Source organism: Homo sapiens, chromosome 10, assembly GCF_000001405.40.
Source record: "Homo sapiens chromosome 10, GRCh38.p14 Primary Assembly".
In the NCBI taxonomy this organism is placed as follows: domain Eukaryota; kingdom Metazoa; phylum Chordata; class Mammalia; order Primates; family Hominidae; genus Homo; species Homo sapiens.
Window position 1 is genome coordinate 31,232,541 of NC_000010.11, and position 12,170 is coordinate 31,244,710.

At 37.8% G+C, this 12,170-nt stretch overlaps 1 long non-coding RNA gene across 1 annotated transcript in view, besides 1 other annotated feature; it reads left to right on the forward strand.

The window, feature by feature from the left end:
• The window catches only part of LINC02664 (long intergenic non-protein coding RNA 2664), a 73,670-nt gene that overhangs the window by 44,658 nt on the left and 16,842 nt on the right, over positions 1-12,170 (forward strand). The gene's annotated exons all lie outside the window — the stretch shown is intronic.
• Positions 10,119-11,318: an enhancer, noted in NCBI's record as "P300/CBP strongly-dependent group 1 enhancer chr10:31531588-31532787 (GRCh37/hg19 assembly coordinates)". NCBI's record gives its function as "activates an origin of replication core promoter dependent on BRD2, BRD4, P300/CBP, MED14 and CDK7 cofactors, with strong dependence on P300/CBP, by STARR-seq in HCT116 cells {active_cell/tissue: HCT116}" and the evidence as "EXISTENCE:reporter gene assay evidence [ECO:0000049][PMID:35650434]".

Genomic DNA, 12,170 nt, shown 5'->3' on the forward strand with positions numbered 1-12,170 from the left:
GCATTTCAGTTGCCTCTGCTTAGTTTCCTGAATTTGCTCTGTATTCCTTAAGATTCATTAAATGACTTACAGGAAGCAGATAACCACATGTTGAATAGAATATATAAGGATGAACACTGGAATTCAGAAGAGAAATAAGAGAGACCCTCTGAGGCACAGAAACTCAAGATGGCAGCACAGAGAGGGAAGTGAAGCTGGCTAGGATCAGCTTGGAGCATCAAAGCATGGACAGATTCCCCATTGTGGGGAAACAATAAGCCAGAGATCCCCCACAGTCCACATTCCCACCACAGATACCTGCAATCCTAGCTACAGGAGAGCCCCTAGGCCCTCACAGGCCCTAAGCCTAGTATGGTGAGTTTCCTGGAGTTCACACAACTACATTTTCCCAGAGAGGGAATTGATGCTGGGTCCCACCCACCCACTAGGATTCAAGCTGCTGCTGCACAGCATCATTTTGATAATAGAGCCAACATCATACTGCATCTCATCCTGATGCAAAAATCCCTACACTTCCACATCCCTGGGATCCCACTGACATCACCCTACAATCACTCAGAGGGCTGCAGTGTCATAAAGCTAGCTAGAACCAGTGATGCGGCCATACCCCCCGTACCCAAGCACATACAGTACTCCATACATGGAGGAACAGGCAGTTCAGCACATAAGGCAGCCTGTCCCCAGGACATAGAGAACTGAAGCATGCACTCTCTGGAGCCTGAGAGTCACTGTCCCTGGACTGCCACCAGTGACAGTGACCCCTCCCTTTCCAGTAACAGGGCCACTATATGCCTGCATGTGCTACCCAGGAAGTCAAAACTTAATTTGCTCAGGCTATGACCACTAACGCAGGTGCCTCCAACCACTTGGGGCCCCAAGTATTAGCCCTACTAGCTCAGCGAGCCTGCTGCCAATACCAACACATGCCACCCAGGGGCTTACGGATTGGCCACCCAGCCTGTGGAGGCTGTTGTTGCCACCAGCAGTGCTGGTGTGCACCATCCAAAGTCCCAAGGATCATCCTTCACAGACAGCCATCACCACAGATGAAGCCCATGTACCCTACACAGGGAAAAGAGGACTGGCCCATCCAGGGCACACTGCCGCCACCACTGAGGTCCATGTGAGCCACTTAGGGCCCAGAGGACTGGTCCACCTAGCATCCCAGTCCCTGGTAAAGCTACACTGCAGCCTGCACAAAATACTGCAGCCTAAGCCACTGAGAAACTTGCAGACACTACTGATGTTCATTATAGCTGAAGAAATCACATGCATGGAGGTTACACTACAGTGCCACTCAAAACCAGAGATGGTACCCTACCCAGCCAACACTATAGATACATCTATGGGAAATTCTTTGTGAAAGCTGCTCCATAAAATTCAGTCAATCAATTGTTATACCAGATGCACAGATATCAACATAAGGACACAAGAAACATGAAAAAGGAGAGAAACACAACACCTCCAAATAAACACAATAATTCTCTGGTAACAGATCCCAAAGTAAAGGAAATCTATGTGGTATGTGAAAAGGAATTCAAAATGATGATTTTAATGAAATTCAGTGAGATACAAAGAATGTACGTAGACAATACAAAGAAATAAAGAAGCCAATTCCTGATCTGAATGAGAAATTCAACAAAGCAATAAATATCATAAAAAAGAACCAAACAGAAATGTGGCAACTAAAGGATTTAATGAATGAAGTAAAAACTACAATTGAGAGCTTTAGCAATAGACTTAATCAAGCACAAGAAAGAATTTCTGAAGTTGAAGACATGTCTTTTGAAATAACCCAATCAGAAAGACACAAAAAGAAAAAAGAATAAAAAAGAATGGAAAAAGTCTATGTGACATATGGGACACCATAAGTGAATACATACTCAAATTTGGGGAGTTCCGGAAGAAAAAGAGATGGAAAAAGTCACAGAAACCCTATTTAACAAAATAATAGCTGAAAACTTGCCAAGTCTTGGAAAAAATATGGATATCCAGATGCAGGAAGCCCAAAGATCCCCAAATAGATTCAACTCCCAAAATGTCATCTCTGAGGGACGTTGCATTCCAATTATCAAGAGTCAAAAACAAAGACAGAATTTTAAAAACAGCTGAAGAACAGTGTCATGTCACACATAAGGGAATCTCCATCAGACTAACAACAGACTTCTCAGCAGAAACCTTAGAGGCCAGGAGAGATTAGAATGATACACTCAGAGTGCTGAAAGAAAAAAAACCTGCCAGCCAAGAATGCTACAACCAACAAAACTATCCTTCAGAAATAAAAGAAATATAGTCTTTACCAGACAAACAAAAACTGATGAGTTACATCATCACTAGACCAACCCTACAAGAAATGCTCAAGGGATTTCTACATCTAGAAGCAAAAGAATAATATCTACCATTGTGAAAATACTCAAAAGTATAAAACTCACAGACAGAGCAGACACACAAATGGGAAAGAGAAAAGAACCAAATTTCATCACTACAGAAAACCACCAAATTGCAAAGATAAACAATAAAAGAGGAAGAAAAGAAACACAAAACAATCACAAACCAATTGACAAAATGACAGGAGTGAGTTCTCATCTATCAATAAAAATCTTGAATGTAAATAATTTAAATTCTTCAATTAAAATATATAGACTGGTTGAATGGCTGAAGAACAAGGCCCAACTATATTCCACCTAAAGAAACCATTTAACCAGTAAGAACACAAATAGATTGAAAGTAAAGAGATAGAAAAGGAAAATCCACACAAATAAAAATATGAAAGAGCAGTCGTACTTATATCAGCCAAAATAAACTTTAAGTCAGTAAGCATAAAAAGAGGTAAAGAGGGGTCATTATATAATTATAAAAGGATCAATTTAGCAAGAGGATATAACAATTTTAAATATGTATGCACCCAACACCAGAGCACTTAGATATATAAAGCAAATATTTTAGAGCTAAAGAGAGAGATCGATCCCAATACAATAATAGTTGGGGACTTTAGTACCACACTTTCAGTATTAAACAGAATCATCTAGACAGAAAATCAACAAAGAAGCATCAAACTTAAACTGCATTATAGACCTAACAGACATTTACAGAACATTTTATTAAACAGCTGCAGAATGCACATTGAAACTATAGTCTTCTTTTTTCTTGTCAGCTCATGGAACATTCTCCATGACTGACCATATATTGGGCCACAAAAGAAATATCGGCAAATATTTAAAAATTGAAATCATATCCAGTATCTTCTCAGACCACAATGGAATGAAACTAGATTTCAATAACAAAAGAAACATTTAGAAACTTTACAAATACAAAAAAAATTGAATAACATGCTCCTGAGTGATCATTGAGTCAGTGGATAAATTAAAAAGGAAATATAAAAAGTCTTAAAACAAGTGAAAATGGAAACACAACAAACAAAAACCTGTGAACAGTAAAAACAGTACCAAGAGGGAAGTTTATAGCCATAAATGTCTATATCAAAAAAAGAAAATATTATTTTTAAAAACAACCTAATGATATAACTCAAGGAACTAGAAAAGCAAGAACAAAACAAATCCAAAATTAGTAGACGAAAATAAATGATAAAGATCAGAGCAGAGCTAAATGAAATAGAGACTAAAAAATATAAAACATCAATGAAAATTTGGTTTTTTGAAAAGATGAACAAAATTGACAAACCATTAGCTAGACTAAGAAAAAGAGAGAAGATTTAAATAAATAAAATCAGCAATGAAAAAAGGAGATATTACAACGGACACCACAGAAATACAAAGAATCGTTAGAGACTATTATGACTACCTGTGCACCAACAAATTAGAAAACCTAGAGGAAATGGATTAATTCCTGAACACATATAACCTACCAAGATTGAACCATGAAGAAACAGAAAACCTGAACAGACCAATAGTAAGGAATGAGATTAAAACAGCAATAAAAATTTCCCAACCGAAAAAAAAAAGCCCAAGAGCAGATGACTTTACTGTCAAATTCTACCAAACATTTAAAGAATAAACTCCAATTATTTTTAAACTATTCCCAAAAATTGAAGAGAAAAGAATTTTTTCTAACTCATTCTATGAGGCCAGCCTTATACAAAAAAAGGACAAGGACAAAACAAAAAAAGAAAACTGTAGGTCAGTATCTCTTTTGAACATAGATGCAAATATTGTCAACAAAATAATAGCAAACTAAATCCAACAACACATCAATGAGAAACACATGATAATAAAGTGAGATGTACTTCAGAAATGTAAAGATGATTCAAAATATGCAAATCAATAAAGGAGATACATCATATCAACGAATAGACACAGAAAAAAACATTTGATAAAATTCAACATCTCTTTATGATAAAAACTCTCAACAAGTTAGGTATAGAAAGAAAATATCTGAACATAATAAAGGCCGTATATGACAAACTTACAGCTAACATCATACTGAATGGAGGAAAGCTGAAAGTCTTTCTTCTAAGAACTGGAATATGACAAGAATACCCATTTTCACCAGTCTTATTTTCAACATAGTAATGGGAGTTTTTACCAGAGCAATGAAGGACATCCAGTTTGGAAAAGAATAAGTCAAGTTCTCCCTCTTTGCAAATGGCATGATCTTGTAGATAGAAAAACCTAAAGACTGCACAAAAGAAAAAAAAAAACCTCTTAGAACTAATAAGTGAATTCAGTAAATTTGCAGGATACAAAATCGATATGCAAAAATGGGTAGTGTCTCTATATAACAATAACAAACTAGCTGAAAAAGAAATCAAGAAAACAATCCCATTTACATTATCTATAAAAATGAAACAAGGCCAGGCGCAGTGGCTCACACCTGTAATCCCAGCACTTTGGGAGGTCAAGGAAGGTGGATCACAAGGTCAAGAGATCAAGACCATCCTGGCCAACACAGTGAAACCCTGTCTCTACTAAAAATACAAAAATTAGCTGGGTGTGGTGGCATATGCCTGTAGTCCCAGCTACTCGGGAGGCTGAGGCAGGAGAATCGCTTGAACCCGGGAGGCGGAGGTTGCAGTGAGCCAAGATCGCGCCACTGTACTCCAGCCTGGTAACAGAGAGAGACTCCATCTCAAAAATAGAAATAAAATAAAATACTTAAAAATAAATTTAACCAAAAAGATGTAAGATCACTACAATGAAAACTACAAAACAACTGATGAAAAAATTGAAGAGGACAAATAAAATGGAAAGACATTCCATGTACATGAATTGGAAGAATTAATATTGTTAAAATGACCATACTACTCAAAGAAATCTACAAATTCAATACAATTTCTATCAAAATACCAATGATATTCTTCATAGAAATAGGAAAAACAATTCTAAATTCTTCATTAAACCAGAAAAGTCTCCAAATAGCCAAAGCCATACTGAGCAAAAAGAATAAAGCCAAAAGCATTACACCACCTGATTTCAAAATACACTACAAAGCTCTAGTAACCCAAACAACATGGTATTGGAATAAAACACATAGGCCAATGGAACAGAAGAGAGAACCAGAAATAAGTTCATGTATTTATAGCCAACTGATTGTTGACAAAGGTGCCAAGAATATACACTGGGGAAAGGACACCCTCATCAATAAATGGTGTTGAGAAAACTGGATATTCATATGATGTAGAATGAAACTTGACCTCTATATCTCACCATATACAAAAATCAACTCAAGATGGATTGAAGACTTAAATGTAAGACCTGAAACTACAAAAATATTAAAAGAAAACCTAGCCAAAACACTTCATAATGTAGGTCTAGGCAAAGATGTTATGGGTAAGACTTAAAGGCACAGGCAAGAAAAACAAAAATAGAATATACCAAACTAAAAAGGTGCAGAGCAAAGTAAGAAATCAACAGAATAAAGAAACAACCTGTGGAATTGGAGAAAATATTTGCATAGTATTCATCCAATAAGGGAGTAATATCCAGAATGTAAAAGAAACTCTAAAAACTCAACAGCAAAAAAACCAAATATTTCAATTAATAAATAAGCAAAGGATCTGAATAGACATTTTTCAAAAGAATGTATATAAATGGCCAATAAATGTATGAGAAAATGATTAACATCACTAATCATAAGGGGAATGCAAATCAAAACCACAATAAGATAACACCCCATCCTAGTCAGAATGGCTATCATCAAAAAGACACACACACACAAAAAAACAAATATTGATGAAGATGTAGAGAAAAGGGAACTCTTATACACTCCTGTTTGGAATATAAATTAGTACAGCCATTACAGAAAACAGCATGGAGATTTCTCAAGAAACTAAAAACAGAACTACTGTTCCTGCAATCTCGCTGCTGGGTATTTATCCAAAGAAAAGAAAATCAGTATATCAAAGTGATACCTACACCTCATATTTATTGCAGCTCTATTAACAATAGTCAAGGTATGGAATCAACTTAAATGTCCATCAACATATGAATACATAATGAAAATGTGGTCTATACACAATAGAATACTATTCAGCAATAAAAATGAAATCCTGTCATTCACAGCAACACAGATGAGCCTGGAGGACATTCTATTAAGTGAAATAAGTCAGACGCAGAAAGATAAATACTGAATATTCCCACTCACATGTTTGAATTTTTAAAAATCCTGAACTCATAAAAGTGAGGAATAGAATTGTGGTTATTAGAGGCTGGGAAGGGTAGGGGTAGGAGAGTATAGGGAGAGGTTGGTTAATAGACACAAAATTATAGCTAGATTGGAGGAATGAGTTCTAGTGTTCTGTAACACTGAAGGGTGAATTTGATTGATAATAGTTTACTGCACATTTTTCAGAAAGCTAGAACAGAAGACTGAATATTCACAACACAAAGAAATGATAAATACTTGAGGTAGAGGATGTGCTGATTACCCTGATTTGATTGCTACACGTTGTATACATGTATTGAAATATCACTCTGAATCCCATAAATACGTACCATTACTGCACATCAACTAAATGAAAATAAGAAAAGTCAATCAGAGGTTGTGACTCTCCACCTAAAGAGTTGATGGTATTTGTTAAAAATTGGTGTATATATATATAAGATTCATATTTTTAAAAAACCAACACATTCTGAAACGTAGATCAGCAGGGAGAAAATACACATAAGAATCCGAGCTAGGATTTTTTTAAACCTTCAAGGTATGAATTTTAAAGTTTATACAAAGCCCCTTTTAAAAAGGTAAGATTTCATCAACACTGTATTTTAGTAAATTTCAATGTATTATTTATCAATTGATAAGTCATGGGCTATTTGTTCTTCTGTGTCCTATCATATAAGATTGTTTTAGAAGGATATTTGATAAAAATAAAATGTGTCTGGGCAACAAATGAATTCATTATATTGAAGGTGAATACATGTCTATATTTTAGAATAGATGATTTAAACCAAACATGACAGTATGGAAATTAAGATTTGTTTTTTTTCTCACTACAGAGAATACTGAACAGTGGTATTCTCAAGTCTTATTTCCCAGCTACAATAACATGAATAGATATTGATATAGCCTATTATCTCAGCAATAATGCATATTACAACAAGTGATTACTCATTAGCAGGAAAATGTTTCTCCAGGGCTTAATTTAGAATGCCTGAAATGAAATAACAAAATCTCAGTCTTGGAAGTATCCTCTGTATAGTTATTGTTTAGGGAAACTTTTATTGCTTCACAACAGTTTAAGATCCTTAATTGGCCGGGTCTTTGAAATGAAAGCATGTGGTGAAGTACCAAGGTCTTGGACAGCTAATGTGAATGAACATATGCAATACTGTAAACCAGGCTTCTTGGAATTATTGGCAGGTTTTGATTCAGATGTAGAAGAAGATGTAGCTATCTCTTTCATTCTCAGTGATTGCCCTAAGGCTTTCTGGATAGCCTGCTGCCTTAGCAACTTTCACCCATGCCTCAGGATTCTATGTGCAGATAGAATTTGGACATGGATGGGTTAATCCACTAAACTCTACTCTTGCATGATCAGGATGCAGTCAAACATCAATTTAGGCAGACTGAGTTGAGGCTGGGTTGAGATGCAAAACCTGGCTGATTCAATGCCTGAGAGCAAGTTGTCCTAGAAAATTTCAGTACTGGGGGAGCTAAATCTACTTTACATATTTGACAAGCATCAGAGGAGTGTGATTCTACAAGTTCTTGTGATACAACGGTAAGCTTCCAATTTTGAAAATACAGAGGCAAGGAGGAGTTCAGGTGTTCAGGACTAAGATAAGGATGCAGGTCTGGAACTTCTGAGTCCCAAGGGAAAACCTGATCAAAAAGCATAAGGTAAGAATACATTTACCACATACAGGCATGCTAGGTCAGAGTAGGTGCTAGCACAGGGATGACTTGATGCTAAGCCCCCAAACTGATACCTAAAGATTTTCTATATTTTCCCTGACCAGAAATGCAATTGATCATGGAGTCTGGGACAGAGCTGAATCTCCAGATAGTCACTATATGGTTCCAGCTGTGGGACAGGAGAGCTTTAGGAGCAGGGAATTTCCAGGTCATTATACCCTTCTATACTTTAGGGCCTTTTTCATGGACTTATTTATCCTTTTTCAAGCAGCTTAATTTTTAGAAATTGATCATAATCTGAAGGCAGTTTTTGCCTTGATTACCAGGTATCTTTTTTGTGATCACTAATGGATGCCCAGAGCTGGAGCGGAGACCTAGGTATCCTCTTCCTGGAACGGCTGCAGCTGTGCTTAGGTCTTACAGATGGCCCAGGGCCCTGGGTTTTTCCTTCTGAGCTTCCTTTAAATCTGCTGACTGAGGACTGAGTAATGGCTGGATATGTCCACGACTGAACTAAAATCTCCACCCTTCCAAAACACGAAAATAAATTTCCTTAATGGAACTGCTGGCTAGAGGAAAAGCATCTATAGACTTTTGACTTGTACTTCTCTCCAAAGCTTTTTTCTATGATTCCAAACTCCAGGCTCTCAGTAAATTGCTTAATTATTTGGAAAGGTGCTGAGCCAGCAGCAGGTAGCCTTACTGAGCCCAGATCTAACCACACTGCAGTAGTATGTTGCCCCCATTTCCTAAGCAAGTCTACTGAAATGTAGACCACTCACTCAGATAAACACATCTCTCGTGTTCAGCCTCCTTAGTGCAGAATAACAGGATTTTGCTTAGAAAGTAAAGGTACAGGCAAGCGAGGAGAGCCTGGAACTCAATGACTAGACACATGAAACACAAAAAGCATGATCTTGTGGGCAGGTGAGGATAAGCATCTTCCACTGCCGGTGAAGAGAAGTCCAGCAAAAGAGTGGATCTGATGTTCAGTTGATAGACACAAACAGCAGGAAGTCAAGAGTAGCACAGTGTAGGGGGAAAAGAGTGATCTTTAGGTTTTTGCAAACTCTAAATAAAATTTTAATACTTCCATTGATTATCCATTCATTCATCCATCATATATATATATATGTGTATGTGTGTGTGTATATATATATATATGTGTATATATATACACACACACATACACATATATATGTATATACACACACCACCATGCCCAACTAATTTCATTCATCCAATATTTACTACAACCTACTATGTGTTCCAGTGCTGTCCCAGACATATACCAAGTTCAACGTCTGTCAGAGGAGCCTGGTTTTCTAGGCAGAGGTCAGAAAAGGATGAAATAAAGAAACTGCCATTTGTTAAGTATCTCTTACGTGCTAGGCACTTTCATATTGATGATTTAATTTAACCATCAAAACAATCCTGTGGATATTATTATCTCCAGTTCTGAAGAATGACAAGGAAAACATGTTTCATGGATGCAGAATAAAGAGGAATCAAACCAGAGAAAAGACAGGCATTCATGTGACCTAAACAAGGAACAACTTCTCAGTCTCTGTTTACTTATCTGTGAAACCTGTCTGGAGGATTAGTTGTAAAGAGGAGATTGCATTAAGGAGCAAATATGCCAGTCTTTCCATGGGCTTTCACACCTGGGGAGGGTTGGTAAGTGTGTGTATTCCAAATGCCCATCAGAAATCTTACAGGAGGATGCCTAGGGAGGTTGGCAGAGGGCCCGAATGACAGTCTTGGCAGGATGACATACAGCAATCCTGGCTGGGAAGTGCTGATACCGGACACCCTAGCCATAGGTAACATGGCTTAAGAAATCTAGGGCTCAGCCCCCATTCTGGAGGGACCTGGAAAACCAAGGCCGGAGTGAATGGAAACCGGGAGATTGGTCATAAGCACAAAGCAGAAGCTGGTCACTCTATCTGAGGTTAGGGAAGAACTGGTCAGATGACAAGAGCACTGCTGCATTTCAGCAGGGCCTGTAGCATCAGCCCCCTGCATGGAGAAAGTCATTGTCAGAAGTCATTGCTCCCCCATTCCCATCTCTAGGAGTTATGACTCTCAGTTCTTCCTTCCATGACTCAGCAACTACTCAGTTCTTTCCACCTGTCTCAGACTTGCTTCTCAGATCCCAAGGGCTGACCCTCTGTGTCCCTGATGCTGTCTTCTCCCAGCTGATGTCAGCTTGGTTCATAGTAAGCTCACTGGGTGCTGAGTCATCCAATGTCAAGGGCCCTTTGATCTGCCCACCAGACCTGGGGAAGGCTGAGTCACCAGACCTGGGGAAGGCTGAGTCTGCCAGTGGACTAAGTGGTCCCAGATGGGGAAGGAAATGACTGCAGACACAGAGCACCAGGCACTTCCTTCGGGGACCTCCACCCTTCACAGAACATGGTCAATCCTTGTTGCTGTCCTCTCTCTCTCTCTCTCTCTCTCTCACACACACACACACACACACACACACACACACACACACACACACACATCATTCTCTCTCCAAACAAGTTATGGATATGGTATAAAGGTACCTTGATGACATTGCTCCATAGGAGAAACCATGCTTGGCTTCTGAATATTATGACTGTTTCCTTCTCATGAGTGAATGAAGGTGAGCGCAGCATAGAACTTAAAAATAGGACTTTCTCCGACTCTTGCTCACCAATTATACAATAATTGAAGAGCAGAGAAGAAAGTTTGTTTTGTTGCCACATAATTCATATAATAGGGTCTGGATTACATGACAGAATTGTTACATTTCTCCTGGTTTGAACCCCTACCCAGAATCCATCCTGGGAAATTCTCTTCCTTGAACACCCAGCAGGTTTGCACTAATTTGTTGCTTGAACCCATGGCCACAAAACTTCAGCAGAAAAGGTTTTTATCTATGAGAACAGAAAGAAATATGCATGTAGAGATGAGAATGTGTCAATAATAGAGTATTTGAGTGAGTAGATTTGGGGAGAGAAATTATTAAAATGTTATGAAGAATTCCATTTTTCATTGAGAGCATCATTTGCCATATCTCTGAATTCAAGTTCTTCCACTCAATCATAACTTAGATAAACCTTTCCCTCATCATCTCTGTAACTAATAATTTCTTCCTTCTCAGAACTCCCAAAAGCTCTCTTACATTTCTCTCGTATCACAGTCATTACTTCGTACTGGGGTAAATCCAAGTTATGTGGGGCTTGAAGCTTAAACAATTTGGGGGGACCTCTTTAGGGAAAATAATTGGAAGTGATTAATACAAAATTAGGCATGAAAATGAATATTTATTTAGAATTGGAAAAGTATCTGTAGTTCTAGCTTGTAAGGAGGCTGGGGTGGGAGGATCACTTGAGCCCAGGAGTTCGAGGCTGAAGTGAGTTGTGATTGCACCACTGCAGTTTAGCCTAGGCGACAGAGCGAGACTCTGCTTCTGAACAACAACAACAACAACAACAACAACAAAGAAATTACAACGAAGTTTTGAAAAAGTTAACAGATACAACAGACATTCCACAATCTAAACAAATAACATTTGTATTAGTCAACTACCTACCACAGTTACTTAACTAATATTTTCTGTACAGGACATGGAAAGATAGTTCAGTCTTCCATAATGGTCATAATTTTTTACTGTCAATAATTGGAATGAATAAAAGATACAACTTCACATACAGATGCACTTATTCTTTGAAATACTGCTACAGGTTTGTGCCCTAGAAATCCACACATTCTATTATTTTGTGTAATTACCAACAAAAAGAAAACAAACGGATAGAGCATGTATAATTGGAACTGCTTATGCTGTGTTATTGAAAGTATTCCTGAAGTCAGAGAATTCTGGGGTTTTT